This window comes from Homo sapiens, chromosome X (genome assembly GCF_000001405.40).
Source record: "Homo sapiens chromosome X, GRCh38.p14 Primary Assembly".
Lineage (NCBI taxonomy): Eukaryota > Metazoa > Chordata > Mammalia > Primates > Hominidae > Homo > Homo sapiens.
Window position 1 is genome coordinate 71,142,480 of NC_000023.11, and position 26,650 is coordinate 71,169,129.

Here is a 26,650-nt window from a genome sequence, read left to right on the forward strand (position 1 = left end):
AGGGTGGTCTCTTGGGAGAATGCAGGGGGTTGGACCAACAAGTCAGAGTCTTCATTCTATTCTGATCATCTCCCCTGTTTACCTTACACTCTAAAATTTCTTTTTTTCTTTTTTTTTGAGACGGAGTCTTGCTCTGTCGCCCAGGCTGGAGTGCAGTGGCGCGATCTCGGCTCACTGCAACCTCTGCCTCCCGGGTTCCAGCGATTCTCCTCCCTCAGCCTCCCGAGCAGCTGGGATTACAGTTATGTGCCATCACGCCCGGCTAATTTTTGTGTTTTTTTTGGTAGAGACAGGGTTCCACCATGTTGGCCAGGCTTGTCTCGAACTCCTGACCTCATGATCTACCTGCCTCAGCCTCCCAAAGTGCTGGGACTACAAGCGTGAGCCACCGCGCCCGGCCTAAATTTCTTAATTCTAATTGGATTGCTACCCTCTCTTCCTCTTCTTCAACATGGCAACACATTAAGGTATAGGCCCTTAGTCTCTTTTTATTTATTTTTGAGATGGAGTTTTGCTCTTGTCGCCCAGGCTAGAGTTCAGTGGCACAGTCTCAGCTCACTGCAACCTCCACCTCCTGGGTTCAAGTGATTATCCTGCCTCAGAGCCTCTCGAGTAGCTGGGATTACAGGCATATGCCACCAGGCCTGGCTAATTTTTGTATTTTTAGTAGAGACGGGGTTTCACCATGTTGGCCAGGCTGGTCTCGAACTCCTGACCGCAGGTGATCTGCCCGCCTTGGCCTCCCAAAGTGCTGGGATTACAGGCATGAGCCACCACACCCGTCCCCTTAGTCTTTTAAGAAGGGGCAATGAACATTCTCAACTAAATGTTGGAGCTTCTTTACAGCTTTCCTCCATGGGGGATATACCGCTGGGATTGAGGAGGGGCCATTAGGCCAGGGGAAACATCAATAGAACCTGATTCTTCTTCCACAACACCCCAGATGTTGGGCCTCAAACAAGCTGGGGAGGGTGGAGATGACAGACACTGCCTACCCTTCTTGTCATCTTGTGTGGTCCCCATCATGCACCAAGTGGCATACCTTTCATAGGACAGAGAACTTCCCTGAGAGTCACATTCCTGGATGAAAAATTGCCCTCCATTGGCATGTGCCATCATAGAATAGGTCGTGGAAGGACCGTTTGGTTCTAGGAGGAAGAGAGACCAGTAAAAATAAGCACCCTTTCTCTCTCTGCCCTACTGCCAGAACTGCCTGTTCTCACGTGACCCACCTTGGCAGTTACCCAGGATGACTTGCTCGCTCCCATTTTACAGTAGAGAAAACTCAAAACTGTTGCCCCAGAGTCACATTTGGAGCTGCGGCAGGGCCATTCTCGCCCTCTTGCTTTCCAGTTTGAGTTCTAGATCCAAGGCTGTCCAGGAGAGCCAACTGGTTTACTACAATGGAGTCTTGGAGTCTTCTGCCCTGCCTAGCTAGGGCTGGAAGAGGATCAGCCTCAGCCTTGTGAGTGGGTGGTACAGGATGATTTGACAACTTAAGGATAACATGCAAGCCATAGTTGCACCCTATTACTGGGAAGTGTCTAGTGTGCTGGCAAAACCAGGAGCACCAATCAGTACCCAAGTTATAAAAAATAAAATAGCCCTCTTTGAGGCCCACGAAGCCCTTGCTTATATGGGACTTACCAAGTTTAAGAGTTGCGTGCACAAGGAATGGAACTCCCCAACAGTGTAAAGGCAAACATGACTGAAGCTTTCTTCTCACTTATTCTATCCTGACATAAACATTCTGAGGAGCCACAGGAGTACAGGCTTGGCTGGGATGAGGGACATTCAGAGGGGCTTGGGGGTTGCTAAACAAATGGCAGGTGCGCCACATACAAAAACACAAGACACAAAGACACTGAACCTGGAGGGGAGAGACTGAAATGGTCAGACAACTGGCATGCTGACAGTCTGACATGCCCCAGCAGAAGCAGCAGAAGGGAACAGCATTGACCTTTGGGAGAGTGACAGGATGAGAGCAGAGTGGCCCCACTGGTTGCTGCTTGGGTAGTGCTGGCGCTGAGAAATAAGGGATGCTGATTGAGGTGGAGGTGTGTTTTTGTGTAGTATGACTGAGGGTTCCTGCAGGCAGTGCCTCAGTTTCTCCCTTTGGGACAAAGTCTCAAGCTTTGCGGGTAAAGTTTGGGCTAGCTGCCCTGGAAGATCACCTGTCTGATAGCTTGCAATCTGAGGTGTGTGTGCGCGCCCGCGTGAGAGAGAGGGAGCGGAACGTGCCTGAGCATGGGGGGAATTGGGCCATGCCCCAGGACTTGAGCCATCTCTGGCACAAAAGGAGTTAATGGCAGGGACCGCGCCCCCCCGTGTCCGGGAACGCGCAGCGCGCCCCCTCGGTGCGCGGGCACAGCAGCCAGGCTGCCGGAGAGCTGATCTCGGGGATTCGGGTGCGGAGCCCTTGGCCTGGAGGCGATATGGGTGGTCCGTGGCCCGGTTCAGTCGCTTGCAGCAGCCCGGGGAACAGGTGAGGCCGCCTGCCCCGGTCTCTCATCCTCTAGCTGCCCATACCTTGCCCCCATCCTAACCCCTCCCAATCCCAGGCTCCTCCACTCCCCAGCCAGTGGCCCCCATCCCTCTCAACCCCATGTTCTCCATCGGTACCCCTGACCCCCGATCCTCCCCCGCTTCTGTTCTCCCTTCTACCTCCTCCCTAAATCCCGCATCCCTAACATCCTCCCGCCCATGGTCCCTCTATTTCCACAGCCCATCCCGCATGCTCATCAAAATACCCCTATTGAGGGCCCCCAGCCCCATCCCGGGATTGCACATTGCCAGTCCCCCCTCCCCTGCAGTGCAGCCCCATCCCCCTTCCATCATAGCATCTCATAGCCAGGCTCCCTCCCCCACTATCTGCAGCCCCCCCACCCAATGGAGGCCTTTATCCTATCCTCCCCCATTCCAGTGCAACTCCATCCCCCAATCCATTCCAAGCCCTCGTAGCCCCCAATACTGCAGTTCTCAATATTGGTCCATTCCTGCACAATGCCCCGCGCCCAGCACCGCTGCAGCCCCAAAAGTACCCCGAGATGCCATTCTCATCCCCGGCATTGCTGCCTCCCCTTGTCTTCTCCCAAATTGCAAGTTGGACCAGGATGGAGATCTTGGCCTTGGGGATTCACAGTGGGTCCTAGGGTACAGAGGGCGTTTGGGGGTCGGTCCGATTGTCTAGGTGTTCACGGGGGAGGGGCTGCAGGGAATTGACTCAAAGGAGAATTTGGCATTTGGCGCCGAAGGGTTACTGGAGAGGAGGGCATCCCGAAAGGGTTAATGGAATTTGTGGGTTGGGGGCAGCACCGAGGGGGTTAATGTGGGGGGGTTGCTGGTGGGGAAGCTGTGTGAATGAGCGGTCTGTGCCCTGGAGTTGCCATGGAGACGGTGAATGGGGGGATTGTGTGAACTCAGCTGCGGACTATGCCCCCCCCAATACACACACCCACCCACTCCCTCCTGCCCCACCTCCCTACTCCTACCCCTTCCTTCCCCTTCCCCTCCTCCCCACACCCGGGTGCATTCTGGGCAGTGTCTGGGATCTTACCCCCCATACTTTGCTCCCCATTTCCTCATTTCCTCTGAGCCCCCACCCCTTTAGCCACTTTACCCGCCCTCCCTCCTCTTCCTTTTTCTTCTCTCTCTCTCTCTCTCTCTCTCTCTCTCACACACACACACACACAGACACACACACACACACACACACACACACACACACACACACACACACACATTCTCATTCCCCTCTCGTGGTGGCTGATTGCCGGGCGTTCCCAATCTCCCTCCCCCACCCCTTCAGCCAGTTCTTAAAGGAGCAGGCCTGCAATCTGGGAAGGCGGGAGAAATGGAGGAAAACTAAATGTGCATGTGGCGTGGGTGTGCGTGTGTGTGCGTGTGTGTGCGGGAGCATGCGGGAGTATCTGTGTGTGCCTGTGTCTATGTGTTGACTGTGTAACTGTGTCAGAAGGCCTATGTGTCTGAGTGTGTTGCTATTTCTGTTTCTGTCTCCACCTATGTGTCACCATTATGCTGCATGTGTCTGGATATTTACCTATGCGGGTATGTGTGATTATATTTCAGTAAGTCTCTATGTGTGTCTCTGAATGTATCATTCTGTGAGGCTCTGGCTGTGTGAGGTGCTCTGTCTCAGAATGTGGGACTATATGAGGGGATCTCTGTGGGTTTGGAATATATGTCTCTGTGAGTGAATATCGCAGTGTCTGTGATCCTGGCTTGGTCTCTCTCATTCCCTCTTTGAGTCTTTGTGAGTTTATTTCTATGAGTCTCTGAATATGTGTTCCCCATGCTCCGTTGTTTATTTTATAATACACCGGAAGAGCATCCACAATGCCTAGGGTGCTAGGCAGAACTCTTTCTGCCTCACTTCTGGAATTCGGTGTGAATTAAGAGAGAGCCAACCGAAAGGACCAAGGCTTAAGGATTTGGGAGCAGTGAGGGCTGAGGAGAAATGTACAGGAGGGGCGCAGGAGGGTCCGAGGAGGACTCCCGTGAATGGCTGTCCCGCCCTCTGCCCTGCCTGAGGGTGAGGGAGTCTCTCTGTGGGACTCTGCCGATTTGCTGCTTTCTGTTCTTGTGTCTTAGTGTCCCGGAGTGAGGTTGACAATCCCACCCTGTCCTGAAGTGGAGGTCCCTGTGTGGGCTTACCAGGTCCCAAGGGCTACACAGCTCTGTTCAAGCAGCATGCCCAGGGACCTGAGCTCCATTTTTGTTTCTCCCCACCCCCTGGCTGTCACATGCTATTCTGGCTCCAGCCGACCCTGATGAACCCCTTTGGCTGTAGAATTGAAGTTGGGCACCGGGAACTTGCAGTGGCAACAACTGTCACTGTCAAACCCCTTGGATTTTCCAGCCATGGCCAGGCACATAGAATGGTTCTGATTGGCAGTGGATCATCTGTGGGATCACAGTCCCTGGGCCCCTGGGCATGTGAAACCTCTCCTACCTATAAGAGAATAGCCCAAGCCCAGCAGGGCCCCCAAAGACCAACTCTGTTGCCCTCCCAGACCATCTTGGATGACGCATACTTCCCTCTTTCCACAGGCCTGTCTGGCCCTGAGGGAGTCCCCTTTCTGAAGCTGTGGTGCTTGGACGACCTGCTCTCTACATTGCTGGGCACCTGTAGGTGTCCCTCGAGAGCTCAGTTTTGAGGTTCAAGTCAGTGTGGCCATGAAGGGGCTGCCTATTGGGCTGATGCTGTGACCCTGGAGTCTGCCTCTCCTGCCAGTCCCCCTGCCCGGAACATGTGGCTGCGGCTTGGCCCGCCCTCGCTGTCCCTGAGCCCCAAGCCCACGGTTGGCAGGAGCCTGTGCCTCACCCTGTGGTTCCTCAGTTTGGCGCTGAGGGCCAGTACCCAGGCCCCAGCACCCACAGTCAACACTCACTTTGGGAAGCTAAGGGGTGCCCGAGTACCACTGCCCAGTGAGATCCTGGGGCCTGTGGACCAATACCTGGGGGTGCCCTACGCAGCTCCCCCGATCGGCGAGAAACGTTTCCTGCCCCCTGAACCACCCCCATCCTGGTCGGGCATCCGGAACGCCACACACTTTCCCCCAGTGTGCCCCCAGAACATCCACACAGCTGTGCCCGAAGTCATGCTGCCGGTCTGGTTCACTGCCAACTTGGATATCGTCGCTACTTACATCCAGGAGCCCAACGAAGACTGTCTCTACCTGAACGTCTATGTGCCGACGGAGGATGGTGAGTGCTGCGGCCAGGCACTGTGCCCTCCCTGCCTCCCGCCTGCCCTGCTGTGTTTGTGGCTTGCATGTGGTTGTGTGCCCTGCAGCATGCATCTGTCTGTCTGTGAAAATGCTTCTAACCATCACTCTGCTTGGCCTCCCACCCCCCTCCCTGTTCTTCCCTCTCCCAGCATTGTCCGAGCTCCCATGTGTGAGTGACACTGTTGCCAGGAGGGGCCTGGCCCGGCCTGAGAGCTCTGACGGGTCTCGGTCCAGTGCTGGATGGGGGTCCCCTGGGGGAGTATGGGTCACGGCTGGCAGCTACCCGCGGGAGGATGCTGGCTCCACCAGGCCCCCCTGTTGCCATTCCACCTGCTTCGAAAGGTGGTAGGTGTGTGTGGCCAAGGGCACTGGGTGTGTGGGGGGTGGGGCAGCAAGCCTGGTGGGTGATGCTTAGGTGCCTCCTCTTTCACTAGCTGATGCCTCCTCCCGCGGGGGTCACACTAAGGTAAGTGACAGAAACAAGGAGATGGTGGGACAGGCTCTCTGCCATGTGCCGCCTGCAGAGCAGCTCAGCTCTTGGGGCCTGGGGGGTGGGGGGTGCATGCCCCTGGGCAGAGGCCTCCTGTTATTTTTTAGTTTTTTATTCATTTTACAGTAAAGCGGATTTCCAAGGAATGCGCCCGAAAGCCCAACAAGAAAATTTGTAGGAAAGGAGGTAGGTAGCGAGCCGGCGGGGAGGGAGAGAGAGAGAGAGGGAGGGCTGCCTGCCCACCTGCCCTTGCCCCCAGGACCCAGCCTTCCTCCAAGTAGCCCAGGCTCAGGGGGCAGTAAGCAGGCATAAGCGCCACCTCATCTGAGGGCCCTGGCTGCCTTGCAGGGAGGATTTGGTGGCCTAAGGCAGGCTCAGAGCAGAAGCAGCAACCCTATTTCTTCCAATCTTCCCAGCCCCAAATTCCACCCTAAAGTGTGTGCCAAAGGCAGAGCCAGTGGCTCTCTCGGTGACACCTCAGGAGAAACTCTAGGAAGCCAAGATGGAGCCAGAGGCTCCACCCTTTTCCTAGTGGGTGGAGCCAGAAGACCATCCCTTCTGTGTTCTTTCTCCTGGATTGAAAGTCTAGACTCAATTTTCCCACCCTGAAGCTTAGACCAAACGTGTACACAGGTTTAGTAACTCCTGCCATACACACCTCTGTCTCCCACCCCACTACCTCTGGCCAGAGTGTAGCTGATAGACCCAGGCTGCTCTGGTGGCAGAACTTGGGGGTCTCTGGGAACTATGGACTTTAAAGGAGGCAAAAGATCCTGAATTTTAAATTTACCCTCATGCTGAGAGGAGTTTCTCCCCCTGTATAATAATTCTTCCTGTTGGAATATCACTTCATGTTTTCTGTAAAGTGCCTTGGCATTTACCTTAGAGAATCCTCCCTGTATCTCTGGAAGCGTCTAAGGCAGGAATCAGTATCCCAATTTTACAGATGAGGAAACAGGCCCAGGGGAGTGACTTGCTGCTGCTCAAGGCCCCTGTCGCTGGTCTGTGGCAGAGCTGGGACCAAAACCTGGGTCTCTTGACCTTCAGGGCGTGTTCTTTCCACTGTAGCACACAGAAGCAACTCCCATCTGCTCATTCCCATCTCCCCAACTCAAAAAAAATGGTGAGATGTGGCTGGGCTGGGGAGAATTGGAACAGTAACAGCCTAAGGAACAGGTGGAAAAATCACAGCTTGATCCCTACAACCCTCTGGCAAGCTGGGAGTTTGTTTTCCTTTGATGTCCTAGGGCAGAGTTTCTCAGAATGGGGTTGCCAGGATTTCTGGGATGGGGTGCTCCTTACTGAATAAGAATTTCTGGGGGCAGAGCCTGGAAATCTATATGTTGAACATGAGCCCTGAGCGCTTCTAATGCACACCCGAGCATGGAATGAGACCCGCTGCTGTAGGGATAGTATTTCACCACAGCCCCATACCCCACCCAGGACCTCACACACCATAGGCAATTGATGTTTTTTGTGTAATTCAGAAGCATCATGGTGCTGCAGAAAGAGTACAGGTCTGGGAAGCACAAGGCCTGAGTCCCAGCTCTGCTGCCAACTCACAGTGAGACCTTAGGCAAGTCTTGTCCTTCAAGAACCTCTGTTTCCACATCTGAGGTTGGTAGGGTACAGTTCTGGCCTTAGCATTCCATTAGCCTGTAAATGAATTCAGGAGGAAGGTCTCTTAAACCTGCAGGAGAGGCCGGGCGTGGTGGCTCACGCCTGTAATCCCAGCACTTTGGGAGGCCGAGGCAGGTGGATCACGAGGTCAGGAGATCGAGACCATCCTGGCTAATACGGCAAAACCCCGTCTCTACTAAAAAATACAAAAAATTAGCTGGGCGTGGTGGCGGGTGCCTGTAGTTCCGGCTACTCGGGAGGTTGAGGCAGGAGAATGGCATGAACCCAGGAGGCAGAGCTTGCAGTGAGCCGAGATCGTGCCACTGCACTCCAGCCTGGGCGACAGAGCGAGACTCCATCTCAAAAAAAAAAAAAAAAAAAAAGAAAGAAAAGAAAAGAAAAAAACCTGAAGGAGAGATGGCATTCACATTAACCATTTCTTAGGAAGAATGATCGCCCAGTAAGAGCCTTGGGCTGTCCAGTCCAGCCCTGAGAGTGTGGCCAGAGAGCAGACTGGAAGCCCCGGCTCAAACATGCACATTTACCAATCGTGATTGTTGACTGTGGGCAAGGCCATGTGCTAGGTGTTGTTGGGATGTGGAGGGATGTGAGGTAGAGGAAAGATTTAGAAATGACTAAAGGCCTAATCACTGCTCTGAAGAAGCTCTTAGCCTTGTATTAAAACTCAGCTGGTTTGGCCGGGCGCGGTGGCTTATGCCTATAATTGCAGCACTTTGAGAGGCCAAGACGGGTGGGTCACTTGAGTTCAGGAATTCGAGACCAGCCTGGCCAATATGGTGAAACCCCATCCCTACTAAAAATACAGGTGCATGGTGGCACACACCTGTAGTCCCAGCTACTTGGGAGGCTGGGGCAGGAGAATCGCTTGAACCCAGGAGGTGGAGGTTGCAGTGAGCCGAGGTGGTGCCATCGCACTCCAGCCTGGGCAACAAGGCTGAAACTCCATCTAAAAAAAGAAAAAAAAAAAACTCAGCTGGTTTCCCTAAGTCCCATGGGCCAATCAGGAAGTGGGTTCCAGACAGTGCAAGGGAAGGCATTTGGTCATTTCACTGTTCAAATTAGTTCCCTACCCAGGACCTGGTGGCCATTTGGAAGAGTGACAAATCCCGCCTCTTGAGGGAGACCCATCCTCGGAGGTCGTTAGGGTTGTGGTGTGCAGAGGTCTGGGGACCAGCCTGGCTGGGATCCCTCAGCGGCGCAGGGTCTGGGAATGGTGGTCGGCAGTCAGGCTGGCCTGGGTGAGAGGCATGGCGGCTAGGAGCTGCTCAGGAAGTGCCAGGCTGAAGGAGCAAAGGCATCTGTGTGAAGGAGGCTGAGACAATGCAGCAACCCAGGAACACTTTCAGAGGGATTCACAAGGGACTTATCTTCTAAGTCAGGGATGATGGGAAATGAAGGGTTTCCTGGGGAAGACCTGCCCCATCTCCCCAACACCCCACCCCATCAAGTTGGAAGGAATTCGTGTCTGGGGATGAGCAATTCCTTCCCGTTTGGTAGGCTGTCCGCAGTGTGAGGGATGATGCCCATGTCCCATTAAGGTTTCTGAGGACAGCACTGGCAGGTGTTGAGCTAATGTGTTAAGACGGTAGGTGCCACCGGAAGTTCAGGGAGCCAGAGGCAATTTCTCCCCTAGAGCTGTGCTCTTGTCCTGGTTGAAAAGCCATTTTGTAGGATGAGGGCAGTTCCTGTTTTGATGAATGGCTGTAAGGAAATCTAGTCATCAGAGTCCAGACCGGCTGGGAAAGAGGGCTCTTTACTCCCTCCAGGCTGAGGGTATCTGATGTCATAGATGCCTGGGTTGGCAGCACAGCCCCCTCTGTTTCCACACACTGACCAGCATCCAGACAGCCGGTCCTCTCCCTCCACAGCCATCGCCAGGATGCACTTCTAGCCTCCTTAGAACAGGAAGGAGAATCTGTGCCAGCTTAGCCCCAGATCCTAAATGTCTCCCTTCTCACCTCTAGTCTCTTCTTTTTTCTCTTCCCCTCCTTGCCCCTTCTCTCCCCCTACATGCCCCACTGCTTTTCTCATCTATTTCTTCCCTTCCTTCCCCTTTCCCCCACCCCAGAAAGGTGGCATGATGCAGTGGAAAGACCATGGGCTTTGGAGTCAAGCAGACCTGGGTGTGAATCGCACCTCTAGCACTTCCTAGCTGTGTGATCTTGAGCAAGTCACTTTACCCCTCTGAACCTCAGTTTCCCCATCAGTGAAACAATAATAAGGATAGGACCTATCTCACTGGGGTGTAAGGATCAAACAATATGGCAGAAGCAGAGTGTCTGGCACATGGTGAATATTCAGTACATGGTTGGAGCTGTGACCATTATTCCTATCTCTTTGTTTCTCTTCTATTTTTTTTCTCTCTCTCTCACCATCCCTCTCTCCTCTTCCCCTTTCTTCTGTCCCTCTCTCCCTCTCTGGCTCTCTCTACATCTCAGAGCAATGCTTGCTGCTCTCAACACTGGTTCCTGTGGGCAGGAACCCCATTTGCCATTAACCAGAGCAGGGGCTCCAACAAGGAAGACCAGAGGGAAAGCTTCATCTCCCATTTTCTCCTGTGGGAATCAGGGTCAGCTGAGGCCCAGCTTGAGCCTGCCCACTGGGCCCCAGGAGCTCAGGCCTGGGGTCCCTCTACACGTCTCTGCCCTAAGTACCTCGTATCCACAACCTCCACACTTGCTGGCAGTGTCACCCCTCACCCTTGGTACCTGACCCTGCTCTCCAGCTCGACCTGCCTGTGTACACACAAGCAGCCCCTTCCACCCAGAATGAATCCTTCCCCTGAGAGGGTCTCTGGCTCTGTGCCCTGGCCCACTTGCTGCTACCTCCTTCCTCACTGGAAAGGTAGTTGGTTGAGATGGGCTGTTGGGGACAAGGAGGCGGGGCAAGGCGGTGCAGAGAGGCCAGCACAGCAGGGGCCTGCAACACCATCATCCTGATGAAGGTCTGGGCCTCAGCCCACCCATTCCCTCAGTTCTTGCCATCCCTCCTGCCTGTCCTGGGCCCAGGCCCGGAGCTGGCTTGCTGGGCCACACTGCAGTCATGCTGTTTTTGAATTCTCTCTCTGTTTTGTTCTCTGTTCTGTGCTGTTGTGTCTCCCCGTGTCTGGTCCCCAGGATCCGGCGCTAAGAAACAGGGCGAGGACTTAGCGGATAATGACGGGGATGAAGATGAAGGTATTTGGGGGCTGCAGGGCGCGGCGGCTGGTGCATGGCACAGAGCCCCTCCCCTTCTCGATGGGGAGAAGCCCCGTCTGTCTGTCTGTCTGTCCGTTGGTGTGTTTCTGTTCCTGTACAAGGCCGTTGGGCTGTTCATCTGTCTTTGGCCCTGTTGGCCACTGGGAGTTCCGGGGTGATGGACATGGCTGGCAGGAGCAGGGGACCACAAGCAGAGCCATGGGGAGGACATCCTCCTTGCCTGGGTCTCCCGCCCCTTCCCCATCTTCTGTGGTTCAGAGGCACCTGCCCCTACTGAGCAGCAGGGAGAGTGGAGAGAAAGCAGGACCACTGAGGGCGGGGAGAGGACAAAGACAACGGAACGGCAAGGAGATTACCTGTGTTTCAGTGAAGAGACCCCTGTGTCTCACAGGGAGCCTGGCTTCTGGGAGAGGGGCCCCGCAGGATGGTGAACTGGGAAGTGAGGCAGTGACAACCAAAGGGGCTGGAAAAGCAGCACCAGAACCTCCCCAGCCTTCTAGAAAAGAGAGAGATGGTCTCGGGGCTAGGGGCTGCAGTAGGTACAAGACAAGGCCAGAAAGACTGGGCTAAAATGCCAGGCTGAGGCCAGGACACCACAGCCATCAATAGATGGCATAAGATCCTTGGGCAATGATCGGACCAGCCTTCCTCCTTGGAGAAACAAGTTCTGTTTGCTCCGCAGCAGAGAGCATTCCCTTCCTCCTCCATGCCCTGGCCCTGCCCCTCTGCCCCGAAGGGGCCAGGCAGCTCAGGGGGGCCCAGTGGTGATGGGTAGGGCTGTGCTGGCATGGCAGAGAGTATTGGTCCAGTTCACGGACTGACAGGCTACAGGCAGAGGTGATCAGGCCTGGAGCCTTCTCTTGACTGCCCCAGCCCTGATGCCGTGCCGCCTGGGCTCGGGAGCAGCCGCTTGATGGTCCCTTGTTGAATGGCCTCTGGGGAGGCTCCATCTTCATCTTGGTGCTGACTGGGAGCAGGCTCTGTCATTCTTAGTTCTTCCCCATCCCCAATGCTTCTGGTTAAGTCTGCCCAGGGAGAATGGGGAAATGGGCACATGGCTAAGAAACCATGTCAACAAGGTTCCCCCCACCCTATCTCTGCCATTCACTCCCCTTTCCCACATCCTTCCTTGTTCTCTCCCTGTGCCACCCCTTATTCCCACACCTCTTGTCTCTGTCTGCACTGGGGGGCCAGCTGCTGCCAATGGCCGTTTTTCCATGTAACTGGTCTAGTCTTGGGGGTTTCAGGGCTCCCCAGCTCCTGCTCTCTAAAGCCATGTCAGGTCCCAGGACTCCTGGGTGCCCAGGGCAGCGACTCACTTGATGTGGCTAAAGGACCAGCCCTTCCTCTTTCTGCTGCCCCCCGCCCCCAGGGCCCAGCCATGGCCCACTGAGGCCTGGCTGTATCACATGCCTGGCTGCCTTCAGCTGGGAGGCACTTGAAACCAGAGCCTTTAAAAATATCACTGAAGCCCCACTGTCTCGGGCTGATGCTTGAGCTCCAGGTTGAGCAACCCCATGAGTCCTGCCCTCAGGGATGGCGGTGGTGTCCTGGCACCTGGGATAGCTTTGCTGCCCGCACCCACCCCCTGGGCTGGCAGGGGTGGGGGAGCAAGGGCATCCCACCCAGCCTGTGTCTCACCCCTTCTCCTTGCAGACATCCGGGACAGTGGTGCTAAACCCGTCATGGTCTACATCCACGGAGGCTCTTACATGGAAGGGACAGGCAACATGATTGATGGCAGCATCCTCGCCAGTTATGGCAATGTCATCGTCATCACCCTCAACTATCGGGTTGGAGTGCTAGGTATGGTTCCCTGCCTGGTGCCTGGAAGGAAGACTGGCTTCGCAAGGGGGGAGGAAAGAATGCTGGAGAATTTAAAAACAGATAGCCTTGCTTCTCTAGCTGGTGCTAATAACCACAGTCAAAATGGTGTTATCCTCTGGCCCCTACCCAAATGCTAGGGGCTTCCCCATATCCCCAGGCCCTTTCTTGGAAGGTTTAGATGCCACCAGAAATTCAATTCAAACTTCACACCTTCTCTCAGGTCCCAAGCCAGGTCTCTGCTTCCAGACTTTGACTTGGCTGAGTTTTGTAGGATGCTTCAATTTTCCACTGTCCTGTCTTCACCTCTACCCACCCGCCCCACATCTCTAAACACCCCACACATGCACAGATATTCCTTCCAGTCCACTCCATGGCCACACACCTATTTACCTTCATGTGTTTACACATCCACCCCGCCATGCACCTGCAGGAAGACGGTGATTTCTCACTCACCCCCATAAAGTACACACACCTAGCCCCACATTCACATCTCCAGGCCCCTCACATGTAAACACATTCTCCTAGCACTCCAGGTAACTCCATTCACATGGTCTCTCCAGAACACATATCCACATACCCACACGGTCTGTGTACTCCACGTCTGCACCCCGCAGATGGCTCTCACCCTCCGCATGTACACACACACATGCTCATATACTTCTCCCCATGTCTCTGTAGCCACATCTACACCGATACCCACGATGCATACACACCCACACTCACACTTTACCCCCATATTTACAGCCCACACAAAAACCTACACCCTGCACATCCATGTCCACACCAAACTCCACACATATACACCTTAAATGTACATAAATATTCCTTCCACCCACCCCCCACAAATACCTACACACGCCCGTATCCCCCTGCACACCCTACTTCCACATCCACTTTACACATCCACCTACCACACACACCTGTCCCTCACTATCTCCTCAGAAACACAAACAAATATTCCCCTTCCCTACACACATATACTCTTACCTGTTTGTCCACACTGTCCCACCCCACACATACACAGATACTACACACACACCATATCCACATCTATATACATCCCACACACTGCCCTTATGTCATTCCCCTACACATACATTCCCCCACACACACATCCACATATGCATGCACGCGTATACATGCGCACACTCTTCCATATACAGCCTGTATATGTACACCCAGCACACACCCATGCACTTCTCCCCTCACCCCACCCCACAAATATATACACATCCGTGTACATGGGGCTGCATCTGTATCCATACATGCACACACACCTCTACCCAGGCCCAACCGCATCCCCCAAGTCTCCCCACACTTCCTTACCCCGTATATGCACACGTACACACTCTTTGTACTCTAAGCATGTCCCCTGCACACTCCCACCCATCACACACATACTCCCATGCATATGCACTCATTGCCGAAATGCCTCCTCATATGCACCCATACACCTCCCCACCCCCGCATTCTCTGCTGTGCACAAGCTTGTGTCAGTCATTTAGGCTGCCCTTGAACCCTGTACCTTCCTTGGTGACCACCCATGCCTATCTATGGCCAAGGTCTTGAGGTAAACGAGTGCCTCAGAGAGGGTGACTAAGCACACAGGGCCCTGCTCATGCTCCCCCAAGCCCCGCATCCCTGTAGTGGCATGAAGAAGCCAACTTCTTCCTGGAGGAAGAGTTTCAGCGGGAGTGTAGGCTCTTGGTCAGGTCTGTAGGCATATGGGTGCTAAACCAGCAGTTAGGCGTGGCTTATTCCATGGCTAACTAGGGGACACGACCATATTTGATTTTATTTTCATTTAATTTTTGAGACAGGGTCTCACTCTTGCCCAGGCCAGTTTTGAACTCCTGAGCTCAAGTGATCATCCTCCCACCTCAAGGGCCTTATTTTAATTTGCTTATTTATTTATTTATTTATTTATTTATTTATTTATTATTTTTATTTTGTTTTTGAGGCAGAGTCTCACTCTGTCGCCCAGGCTGGAGTGCAATGGCACCATCTTGGCTCACTGCAACCTCCGCCTCCCGGGTTCAACTGATTCTCCTGCCTCAGCCTCCTGAGTAGCTGGGATTACAGGCACCTGCTACCATGCCAGGCTAATTTTTGTATTTTTAGTAGAGACAGGGTTTCACCATGTTGGCCAGGCTGGTCTCGAACTCCTGACCTTAGGTGATCTGCCTGCCTCAGCCTCCCAAAGTGCTGGGATTACAGGCATGAGCCACCACGCCTGGCCCTTAATTTTCTCTTGACTATATTGCTTTGTCAGTTCCAATCTCAGAGGCTCCGGGGCTGCATTTCACTTCTGGGTGCAGTTGTATGCCCAGAACGGCAATCTTCTCTTGGTTTACAATTAATACTATGTGAGATAGGAAGATACTCTTTTGGGGTTCAAACTGCAGAAATGATGCTCCTTTAAAAAAGCAAAGTCGGTGTCCCCTTCATTGGCGCCCGGGAGACTGAATATGGAGCATGCAGGCCATTCACGCTGGCCTCCCCACGGTCTGGTAGGCTTGGGATGTTGGGATGTCATGGTTCTGCTCCTGCCCCTCTGTCTTTCTGCATCACCTCAGACACCATGGTGAGGCTCTTGTAAGCTGTTCTGTCCTGTTGAATCTCATGGTACCATGAAGGTGGCTGGAAACCCACACACTAGGGCTGCACACTTTCTTTTTTTAATTAATTAATTAATTAATTAATTAATTTTTGAGACAGAGTCTCACTCTGTCACCCAGGCTGGAGTGCAGTGGTGCAATCATGGCTCATCGCAGCCTCGACCTCCCAGGCTCAAGTGATCCTCCCACCTCAGCCTCCCGAGCAGCTGGGATTATGGATTACAGGTGTGCACCACCACACCCAGCTAATTTTTGTATTTTTAGTAGAGACAAGGTCTCACTATGTTGGCCAGGCTGGTCTGGAACTCCTGATCTCAAGTGATCCACTTGCCTTGGCCTCCCAAAGTGCTGGGATTACAGGCGTGAGCCACCGCGCCCGGCTGGGCTGCACAGTTTCTAGAGAGGAATGAACGCGCAAATGTGATCACAAACAGATATGCAGACACATGTACACGGTAGTTCAAAGCCAAAAGTAATTTTGCTACTTTCTTTTCTTAGAGTGACAGAAAACACTCAGCTCAGCTGCTTAAAAAAATATAAACACAATGCTCCATTCTATAAGGTTTATTGGAAAATACAAAGAATACTAAAAATATGCTTCAGAGCAGCTAGGAATGAAGAAAGAGAGCATGGAAAAGAGGGAGAGAAAGAGGAGAAAGCAAGGAAGAGAAGAAAATGAGAGGATAATAGAGAGTCAGGGAGAGGAAGCAGAGAGGAGACAGAAGGAGAGACTTAGGATCTGGGGAGAGACTCGGCATTTCACGTAGGATGTGAAGTCTCCACAGTGTCAGTTGGGAACTGTGGGCCGCACAGAAGGCTGTCGCTGGTGAGCATTCCGTATGATATCCTGATTTGCTGATTACTTCACAATCCTTCAGCTGCTCTAATCCTTAAGCTTCTACACCAGAAGTTCTTAACCTTTTGGGGCATCTTGGACCCTTTTGAGATTCTGATGAAAGCTATGGACTCTCCCCTGGAACAATGCACACATGCGTGTGTGCACACACATGCATGTGCGCACACACACACTTAATTTTACAGGGCCGGGTGTGGTGGCTCACGCCTGTAATCCCAGCACTTTGGAAGGATGAGGTGGGTGGATCACCTGAGGTCAGGAGTTCAAGACCAGCCTGGGCAACTAAACCCTGTCTCTACTAAAAATACAAAAGTGAGCTGGGCATGGTGGCATGCGCCCGTAGTCCCAGCTACTCAAGAGGCTGAGGCAGGAGAATTGCTTGAACCTGGGAGGCGGAAGTTGCAATGAGCCAAGATCGTGCCACTGCACTCTAGCCTGGGCAACAGAGTGAGACTCCATCTCAAAAAAAAAAGAAAAGGAAAAAGAAAAAGAAAAGAAAAGAAAGAAAGAAAAAACAATTTTACAGATCCCCCTTAAGTTCATCCATGAAAGTCAGGTTAAGAACTCGCACTTGACAGCCCCGTCATTTGGATAACCAGAACAGCACATCTAGGGGGCAGGAACATTCTTCTTTGGGCTTAAGCAGTTGATGATCAAATATCACCGAAAACTCAGAAGGAGTCCTACACTGAGATTTGCTCAGAAGTTCCTCACCACTTCCTGCACACCCTTCAGTTCCTGTTCTGGAACACAAATATAATCAATAAGCCCGTATTGGATGCCGGGTACATATAAGATGTTTGTTTTTGTCTCTTGACACCAGATGTAGAACATGGGTTTGTCCCTGATGCTTGGGAATTTTCTTTTCTTTTTTTTTTTTAATTGAGACAGAGTCTTGCTCTGTCACCCAGGCTGGAGTGCAGTGGCACAATCTCAGCTCACTGCCAACCTCTGCCGCCGGGTTCAAGCGATTCTCGTGCCTCAGCCTCTGGAGTATCTGGGATTACAGGCGCGCACCACCACGCCCAGCTATTTTTTTTTTTTTTTTTTTTTTTTAGTAGAGGCGGGGGTTTCGCCATGTTGGCCAGGCTGGTCTCGAACTCCCGATCTCAGGTGATCCGCCCTCCTCAGCCTTCCAAAGTGCTGGGATTACAGGTGTGAGCCACTGCACCCGGCGGGGAATTTTCCTGTGTAGTGGGGCCTTTGTTGTTTTGTTGCCCAAAGCATCCCAGAACAGGTGGTTTGTTTTGGACCCCAGTCACAGGCATTCATTCACTCTCCTTCCCATCAGCTTTCCTGAGCACTGAACCCATCAGGCGGTTCACTCTAAGGTGCTTATCTTTTTTCTTTCTTTCTTTTTTTTTTTTTTTCTTTTTGAGACAGAGTCTCGCTCTGTCGCTCAGGCTGGAGTGCAATGGCATGATCTCGGCTCACTACAACCTCCGCCTCCCCGGTTAAAGCAATTCTCCTGCCTCAGCCTCCCAAGTAGCTGGGATTACAGGCGCCTGCCACCACACCCGGCATATTTTTGTATTTTTAGTAGAGACGGGGTTTCACCATGTTGGCCAGGCTGGTCTTGAACTCCTGACCTCAGGTGATCCACCTGCCTCGGCCTCCCAAAGTGCTGGGATTACAGGCATGAGCCATCACGCCCAGCCTCTAAGGTGCTTTTCTAGATATCTTGGGTGATTCATGAATGTTGAGAATGTCACAGGCTAATCCATGGATCCTCTCCAAGGCAGAGGGGTAGCTATTATTTGAGAAGGCCCCACTGGGCTTGAAGCCAACAAAGAAAGGGACTCCAGCAGGATATAGGATGTGGAAATCCCTGAGGCTGAGGAAGCAGGCACTTGCCAAGTTTTACTCCAGGTTCCAGAATTGAATCCTACATGCTTGCTCAGGTACCCTCCAGGCAAACCGAAAACCCAGTAAACATCAAGCCTTGAGTGACACAAATATCTGGTTTTGTTACAATCTGCCAGATTCCCCATCTTCTGTTGACGAGCAGTTTACCATGAACTGCAGTATAAACTTGGGCCCAGGGAGACTGGCTCCGATTTATTCTGACAGTTTATGGAGTTTAGTATTTCAGCCTTCATTCTCACATGGTTTCTGTGGATGGTTGAGTTACTGGGGAACTAGCAGTGAGTGACCTCTCCCAGAATGCCAGATATTGTGTGCTTGTGGTTGGTCAGGTTTGCTGTCATCTTCCTGAGCCTGTTGGAGATAGCATTTCTTTTTTCTTTTCTTTTCTTTCTTTTTTTTTTTTTTTTGAGATGGAGTTTCACTCTTGTTGCCCAGGCTGCAGTGCAATGGCGCTATCTCGGCTCACCGCAACCTCCGCCTCCCAGGTTCAAGTGATTCTCCTGCCTCAGCCTCCCTAGTAGCTGGGATTACAGTCACATGCCACCAAGCCCGGCTAATTTTGTATTTTTAGTAGAGATGGGGTTTCTCCATGTTGGCCAGGCTGGTCTCGAACTCCAGACCTCAGGTGATCTGCCCGCCTTGGCCTCCCAAAGTGCTGGGATTACAGGCATGAGCCACCACGCCTGGCCTGGAGATAGCATTTCAAGCAGGACTCTTCATGGAGTAGGGATCATTGACATGGCATCATCCACATGCTTCAGGGCCCCTTAACCAGAGACTCATAGGATCTGAGAGAGCAGAGAGTGATGGTCAAATCCTCCATCCAATCACCTGAGGTCAGGAGTTCAAGACCAGCCTGGCCAACATGGCGAAACCCCATCTCTATTAAAAATATAAAAATTAGCCAGGCATGGTGGCAGGCACCTGTAATCCCAGCTACTCGCAAGGCTGAGACAGAAGAATCACTTGAACCTGGGAGGCGGAGGTTGCAGCGAGCCGAGATCATGCCATTGCATTCCAGCCTGGGCGACAAGAGTGAAACTCCTTCTAAAAAAAAATAAATAAATAATAAATAAATCCTCCATCCAGCCCTTTCAGGCCTTTGTTCCTAACCCAGGAAATTGGTACATTGGAGAAATCTGCTCTACTACATCCAAATGCAGGCTTTGCCTGCTGATTAGGCCAGGCATGTTTGACACATTTCAGTAAATGATGCCTTGGCAAAGGCTGAAGCCAAGACCACTATTGCCTAAATGAAAGAAAAGGAAAAGAGAATACAGGGGAAGGAGAGAGGAGGGAGGACTAAAAGAAGGACAGTGATTTCTGCCAGAGGGTCCCAAGGCTTGGGCAGCTGGGTTGGATCATGGTCAACAGAGTTGGGGTTTTGAGGGATTTTTTTTTTTTGGTTGCTTTTTTAGAGATGGAGTCTCATTCTGTCCCCCAGGCTGGAGTGCAGTGGGGTAATAACAGCTCACTGCAGCCTTCACACCTAGGCTCAAGTGATCCTCCAGCCCCAGCCTCCTGAGTGGCTGGGACCACAGGCATGCACCACCACAACTGGCTAATTTGTTTTGTTTTAAAAACAAAAAGGGACAGGGTCTTGCTACACTGGCCAGGTTGGTCTCAAACTTCTGACCTCAAGTGATCCTCCCACCTCAGCCTCCTAAAGTGCTGGGATTACAGGTGTGAGCCACCATGCCTGGCCAAGTTTTTAAGACTCAAAGGAGCAGCTTCAATTTCTGAATGGGCCACGCAAAGGAAAAGCTGATTTCCTTGTCTGGAAGAGCAAGGGTTCCTTCTTCATCCTCATGCAGGCTTTCTCTAATTCATTCTCATTTCCTCCTCTGGAACCTGGGGCTAAAGAGGACTTGTGACTAGGGCCCGGGAGAAATAACTAAGTACTTTACATACTTAATTGTACCAGAGGTAAATTAATAACACACTTGAAGAGGATGAGATGAGCTCTTTTGCAGAAGCTAGGTACAGAAGGACTTGAGAAAGACAGTGGTGAGGTCTTGTGACTGTTTGAGTCTATTTGAATTCAGCCTCTGCCTATGGACTGCAAGGACGCCAGAGAACTCCCCATGAGCTCTGGGAGTCTTCTCCAACATGGCCTCTCACAAAGTTGATTCCAGGTGCTGTGAATGAGCTTTTAACTGGGGAGTAAAAAATACTGATCCAAGTGTGGGTTTCCAATGTGTAGGAGCTTCACAATTACCCACCTCCAAAGACTTCTTCCAAAAGCCTAGGGCAGGAGAAGACAGAGCCTTCCAAGGGACCCAAGGATTCAGGGAAGAGAGATGAAATAAGGCCGCAGGCTCAGTCTAAAATGGAAGCAGAGTAGGGGGGAATATAGGACATCTCTGTGGGATAGCCAGCAGGTGGGCAGGAAGGTAGTCTCCATGGCAACAAGTCTCCACAGCAGCAAATCCCAGCAGGTGGGTGGGAAGGTAGTCTCCATGGTGACATGTCTCCTCAGCAGCAAATTCCAGTGGGGGGGCGGGAAGACCTGTTTCTGTGGTAACGCACTGCGCTACTTCCCCATTTCTCCACCAGATGAAAAAGATGGTCTGACCCAGTGGTTTCTCAACTTTGGCAGGTATCAGCATCACCTGGAGAGCTTGTTAAAAACACAGATTGCTGGGCCCCACCCCAGAGTTTCTGATTCCTTAGGCCTCCAAGGGAGGGAAATGAGGACCTGCCCTGAAAATGAGGGGAAGGGGGCCATCAAGGCCCCGGAAGGAAGTGGAGAGGGACTGATTTGAACAGGAAGGGCAAGGAGAGCTTAGGGATTGTTGCCTCTTGGGATCATCTACACTTCCTTTGGAGAGAGAAGAAAGGGGAAAGAGAAGTAACTATAGAGCTGCAATGTGCCCAGCATGTTATAGATGCTTATGTTCATTTTATCCTTGTTACAACCCTGTGAGGTATTTTTATCCCCATTTTACAGAAGAGGACACTATGGCCCAGAGATTTTAAATTAAGTGCCCAAGGCTACATGACTAAGATGTGATAGAGCCAGGATTCAAATCAAGGACCGTCTGACTCCAGGGTTTCCATTCTATCTTGCCAGATGTTAGGGTAAGGTCCCCAATAGTACATCAGGGCAGAGAATGCTGAGTTCTGGACATTTGCAGTTTCTGCAGTTTGTCTCCCACCTGGAGGCATGCACTTCAAATGGTCTGCAGACCCCTCCTTCCAAGCTGGATAACAGGTGGGAGGCAGGGAGCTGACCCCTCCTCTGTTGACGATGCTGGACATTGCAGAAAGGAGCACTGCTTTAAGTTAACTATGTGGGAAGAACTACACTGCGTGCTCATTCTCTATTCCCACCTCCCCTGTTGACCCTGCCTGCCGTCATCACCCAAATCCTCCATCCCTCTGCCTTCATTGTCTTCATGCCCTTTGTTGAATCCAGGTTTCCTGAGTACTGGAGATCAGGCTGCCAAGGGCAACTATGGGCTCCTTGACCAGATCCAGGCCCTCCGCTGGGTGAGCGAGAATATTGCCTTCTTCGGGGGAGACCCCCGCCGGATCACTGTCTTTGGCTCGGGCATTGGTGCATCCTGCGTCAGCCTCCTCACGTTGTCACATCACTCAGAGGGTGAGTAACTCGTGGGGCAAAACATGAACTAGCCAAGTGCCGGCTGTCCCAGCATGCCCCATCCATGCCCCAGGGCATCCAAGGGAATCGGCCAGCTCTCTTCTACCAGCTTGGTATCCCTTTGGCAAGAAGTGGAAGAGAAATGTTTCTCTGGGAGAAGTACTTCTCCCAAAGCTGGAGAGGGAAGGAAGAGAATCCCATTTATGTCCTGGGAAAGCAAGATTCTCCTTCTGATGTGGGAGTCTTATTTTGGGGAGTGGGAATAGAACAATTGTCCCCTCAGAGGACAATAGTTTGACAGGGGTTGGGGAGGATCTTTCAGTATGGGAAGGACATGTTACTTCACAGTAGAGATATAGGGTGGAAATTGGTTTCTAGGTCTAAGAAACATCCATTCTCTGCCTTTCTCTCTGAAGAACAAGTCTGTACAAGAGGGGAAACATCCTAGAGGGGGAAGTGGGTCTGAAATGAGAGTCACTAACCCACGAGGTGGGCTTCTTCCATAGGACGATGGTCTATTATCAGACTCCAGACCTCTCCCCGACTGTGCAAGCTGCCGGGGAGATTCTCATTTTTGGCCTCTCTCCTTGTGGTGGGTCCCTTTGCCAGTGACCCTTCCAAGAGAGCAGAATAGGTCCTTTTTGCTCGGCAGGAAATGTTTTCTCCACCTCTGGACTACTGGGAACATTCTATCTCTGAGAGGCAAAGCTGAGCTTCTCATGAAGAAAAGATCTTCCTGAAATAGGTGCCCTTTTCTGAAGTAAGGAAATCTGTGAGCGAGGATGCTTTTTTTCTTTTTTAATTGAACACTAACCCCCTGAGTTAGGGACATTCTCACAGGAAGACTTTCCATCTCTTGAAGAAGTTCTGTCTCTCTGAGAGAGAAGAACCACCTTCTTTGACCTAGAAATTCTGTCTTTGCCCCTCCAGGGACTACCCTGGTGAGGGAAGACTTAGGTGGGATCTGCCTCTCTAAAGAGAGAGACTGTGTTCCTAGGTGACCATAGTGGGAACAGGAATCTTCCCTTTTTCCCCAAAGGAGGGCGAAATGACGGGCTGCAAGGGTGCCTTGGCCTGAAAAGACGTTCTGTGCCTCCTCTGACTGGGGACTCCTCCCCTAGGAGAAGAAAGCCTTTCCTGGAGTGGTGCTATGCTTTGTCTCATAGGGGGCCTGTGTCTCTGGAGGTTTGACTTTTTTTTTTTCTTTGAGACAAGATCTCGCTCTGTTCCCCAGGCTCTGTCCCCCAGTGCAGTGGTGTGATCACAGCTCACTGCAACCTGTTCCTCCCAGGCTCAAGTGATCCTCCTGCCTCAGCCCCCAGAGTAGCTGGGGACTACAGGTGCATGCTACCATGCCCGGCTAATTTTGGGGATAAATTTTTTTTTGTAGAGACAGGTTTTCGCCATGTTGCCCAGGCTGGTCTCAAACTCCTGAGCTCAAGCGATCTGCCTACCTCGGCCTCCCAAAGTGCTGGGATTACAGGCGTGAGCCACTGTGCCTGGCCGAGGTTTGACTTCTTTAAAGATCTGTTCTCTCTGTTTTTCTGTAATTGATGCATGGAGAATAATCTTTGGGAAAATGAGGCTGTCTTTTAAGTAGTAATCTATCATTTCTTTCCCTCTCTTTCCACTCATGCAAACTGGCTTTCTCTTAAAGGAATGGAATTATGTGCCTGAGGGACAAATTCTCCCTTGGGAATGTTGGGGCCAGGGAGAGAATGATATCCTTTTTTTTTTTCTAGAGGGGAAAATTATTTTCTTTTTGAGTTTGGGGGACTGGCTCCCTCTCTGCTAGGGGAAAATCTGAATTTGAAGTATCGGTAGCTTCAGATAAAAGGAAAGTCTCTGCCAGGCGCGGTGGCTCACGCCTGTAACCCCAGTACTTTGGGAGGCCAAGGCGGGTGGATCACCTGAAGTCGGAAGTTCAAGACCAGCCTGACCAACATGGTGAAACCCCGTCTCTACTAAAAATACAAAATTAGCCGGGCGTGGTGGCGGGTGCCTGTAATCCCAGCTACTCGGGAGGCTGAGGCAAGAGAAACGCTTGAACCTGGGAGGCAGAGGTTGCAGTTAGCCGAGATCCCACCATTGCACTCCAGCCTGGGCAACAAGAGCAAAACTCCATCTCCAAAAAAAAAAAAAAACAAAGTATCAGTGGAGACCACAGACGGGGAGCACAGGTTCCCTGGAGACTTTCAGACCCGAAGGCCTTTGCCCTTGGGCTCCTTCCCCAAGCCCTCAGAATGTGGGGCTCTTGCCTGCCTGCATTTCTCATCTCTCATGAAAAAGACTCCTTTGTGGTGCAAGTGCCAGCTCCCTGGTGGTGCGCTGGCACGGAGCTGGGCCCAGCTGGGCAGGAAGCAAGAGGGGAAGACAAGGAGAGATAAAGAGAGGCGGCATAAGGGGGCTGATGTCTGGGATTCAAGGGGTTAATTCTTCCTGACATTGCCTTAACCCCTAAGTTACCAGCCATCGCACCAGGACAGGGAAGGGATGGTGGAAGCCATCAAGGAAGGGGTTCAGCAACCCCTCCTTTGGCCCTACATCATCCCCTGCCAAAAGAGTTGTTCCCCCTTCCTAGCCCATTTAAACCATGGGGCAGCCTCAGTGACAAAGGAATGAAGAGATTTATGGCTATGTGTGACACGACAGATCTGACCTGGTGCTACCTGTCTTCTGTAGGACTTTTCCAGAGAGCCATCATCCAAAGTGGCTCTGCTCTGTCCAGCTGGGCTGTGAACTACCAACCAGTGAAGTACACCAGCCTGCTGGCAGACAAAGTGGGCTGTAATGTGCTGGACACCGTGGATATGGTGGACTGTCTTCGGCAAAAGAGTGCCAAGGAGCTGGTAGAGCAGGACATCCAGCCAGCCCGCTACCACGTGGCCTTTGGCCCTGTGATTGATGGTGATGTCATTCCTGATGACCCTGAGATCCTCATGGAGCAGGGCGAGTTCCTCAACTATGACATCATGCTAGGTGTCAACCAGGGCGAGGGTCTCAAGTTTGTGGAAGGGGTGGTGGACCCTGAGGATGGTGTCTCTGGCACTGACTTTGACTATTCCGTCTCCAATTTTGTGGACAATCTGTATGGCTATCCTGAGGGTAAGGACACCCTGCGAGAGACCATCAAGTTCATGTATACAGACTGGGCAGACCGTGACAACCCTGAGACCCGCCGTAAAACACTGGTGGCACTCTTCACTGACCACCAGTGGGTGGAGCCCTCAGTGGTGACAGCCGATCTGCATGCCCGCTACGGCTCGCCTACCTACTTCTACGCCTTCTATCATCACTGCCAGAGCCTCATGAAGCCTGCTTGGTCAGATGCAGCTCATGGGGATGAAGTACCCTATGTTTTTGGGGTTCCTATGGTAGGCCCCACTGACCTTTTCCCCTGCAACTTCTCCAAGAATGATGTTATGCTCAGTGCTGTCGTCATGACCTATTGGACCAACTTTGCCAAGACTGGGTAAGGAGAAAATAGGGTTTTTTTCCTCTTTGAGACCCCAGCATGCCCTCCCCTCTGCTCCTCTAGCTAAACCTCTTCCATCATATCCCTTCCTAAGATATTCCCAAAATCTTGCTTGGTACCCCTTCACTCATCTTCCTATCTCCCCTTCCTGAGTCTTTCATGCCATTTTTCCTTCCTTCAAAAATGTTGTTGAGGCTTAGAACTCAGTTAGCATCGGGACTAGGAAGGAATGAGGGTTACTGGAAGAACTATGGGATTTAGCCAGGCCCAGTGGCTCACGGCTGTAATCCCAGCACTTTGGGAGGCAAAGGCAGGCAGATCACTTGAGCCCAGGAGTTCAAGACCAGCCACGGCAACATAGAAAGACCCTGTCTCTAAAAGAAAAAGCATTAGCCAGGCATGGTAGTGCATGCCTGTAGTCCCAGGTATTTGGGAGGCTGAGGTGGGAGGATCGCTTGAGCCCCGGAGGGTGAGGCTACACTGAGCTGTGATCACGCCACTGTACTCTAGCCTGGGTGACAGAGCGAAACCTTATCTTAAACACACACACACACACACATATACACACACACACTATGGGATTCAAGGTTAGCTGGTCACAGGCTATGTGAAATAGGAATGCAGTGCTTCAGAAAGAGCCTTCAGGGCCAGGCGCGGAGGCTTATGCCTGTAATCCCAGCACTTTGGGAGGCCAAGGCAGGTGGATTGCCTGAGCTCAGGAGTTCGAAACCAGCCTGGCCAACATGGTGAAACACCGTCTCTACTATAATACAAAAAATTTGCCAGGCGTGGTGGCGGGTGCCTGTAGTCCCGGCTACCTAGGCAGGAGAATTGCTTGAACCCAGGAGGCAGAGGTTGCAGTGAGCCGAGGTTGCCCCACCGCACTCCAGCCTGTGCGACAGAGCGAGACTCTGTCTCAAAAAAAAAAAAAGAAAAAAAAAGAGAGAAAGAAAGAGAGAGAGAGAAAGAAAAAGGGAAGAAAGAAAGAAAGAGAGAGAAAGAAAGAAAGAGAAAAAAAAAAGAAAGAAAGAAAGAAAGAAAGAAAGAAAGAAAGAAAGAAAGAAAGAGAAAGAAAAGAAAGAGAAAGAAAGAAAGAAAGAAAAAGAGACTTCGGGTTCAGCAACTTCTGCTTGCTTAATAAAAGAAAGAGGCTTTATTAGGGGGCTCCTGGCAAAATTGGGCAGCTGAAAAGATTGATAAATGCTCAGTAGCATGTGCAAAGAAAAAGCATCTATAGCCTTAATCTTAAAGGATGAGCGCCGGGAAGGAGGATATAGGAGTTCAAGCCCTGGGGAAGAAGCAGGTGTGGGCAGAGCAGGGGACCCT

At 51.9% G+C, this 26,650-nt stretch overlaps 1 protein-coding gene and 1 long non-coding RNA gene across 11 annotated transcripts in view, besides 4 other annotated features; one reads left to right on the forward strand and one right to left on the reverse strand.

The window, feature by feature from the left end:
* On the reverse strand, positions 67–9,841 carry LOC124905197 (uncharacterized). The gene is made up of 4 exons (XR_007068262.1): positions 8,952–9,841; positions 8,705–8,827; positions 7,804–7,896; positions 67–1,148 (listed from the first exon to the last, which is right to left on the reverse strand). It is a non-coding gene; the product is annotated as an uncharacterized LOC124905197 (long non-coding RNA).
* NLGN3 (neuroligin 3) overlaps positions 2,362–26,650 on the forward strand; it is a 30,467-nt gene continuing 6,178 nt past the window's right edge. For 2 of the 10 annotated variants that reach the window (XM_017029597.3, NM_181303.2), the window contains exons 1-7: positions 2,362–2,485; positions 5,071–5,727; positions 6,367–6,426; positions 10,998–11,057; positions 12,735–12,884; positions 21,664–21,849; positions 24,532–25,321. In XM_017029597.3, coding sequence (XP_016885086.1) covers positions 5,271–5,727; positions 6,367–6,426; positions 10,998–11,057; positions 12,735–12,884; positions 21,664–21,849; positions 24,532–25,321 — 1,703 coding nt within the window. In that variant the 5' untranslated portion in view covers positions 2,362–2,485; positions 5,071–5,270. Of the gene's footprint in view, positions 2,486–3,686; positions 4,069–5,070; positions 5,728–6,366; positions 6,427–10,997; positions 11,058–12,734; positions 12,885–21,663; positions 21,850–24,531; positions 25,322–26,650 lie in introns of those variants that run through there. The other 8 variants (NM_001438296.1, XM_006724662.5, NM_001438298.1 and 5 more) reach the window with 8 other exon arrangements.
* Positions 3,178–3,433: a silencer, noted in NCBI's record as "fragment chrX:70365507-70365762 (GRCh37/hg19 assembly coordinates)". NCBI's record gives its function as "represses an EF-1alpha promoter that drives an FKBP-Casp9 reporter gene in an ReSE screen in HepG2 liver carcinoma cells {active_cell/tissue: HepG2}" and the evidence as "EXISTENCE:reporter gene assay evidence [ECO:0000049][PMID:32094911]".
* Positions 5,008–5,554: an enhancer, noted in NCBI's record as "H3K4me1 hESC enhancer chrX:70367337-70367883 (GRCh37/hg19 assembly coordinates)". NCBI's record gives its function as "activates a minimal SCP1, AML or CMV promoter by ChIP-STARR-seq in naive H9 embryonic stem cells {active_cell/tissue: H9 hESC(naive)}" and the evidence as "EXISTENCE:reporter gene assay evidence [ECO:0000049][PMID:30033119]".
* Positions 5,555–6,101: an enhancer, noted in NCBI's record as "H3K4me1 hESC enhancer chrX:70367884-70368430 (GRCh37/hg19 assembly coordinates)". NCBI's record gives its function as "activates a minimal SCP1, AML or CMV promoter by ChIP-STARR-seq in naive H9 embryonic stem cells {active_cell/tissue: H9 hESC(naive)}" and the evidence as "EXISTENCE:reporter gene assay evidence [ECO:0000049][PMID:30033119]".
* Positions 10,704–11,203: an enhancer, noted in NCBI's record as "H3K4me1 hESC enhancer chrX:70373033-70373532 (GRCh37/hg19 assembly coordinates)". NCBI's record gives its function as "activates a minimal SCP1, AML or CMV promoter by ChIP-STARR-seq in primed H9 embryonic stem cells {active_cell/tissue: H9 hESC(primed)}" and the evidence as "EXISTENCE:reporter gene assay evidence [ECO:0000049][PMID:30033119]".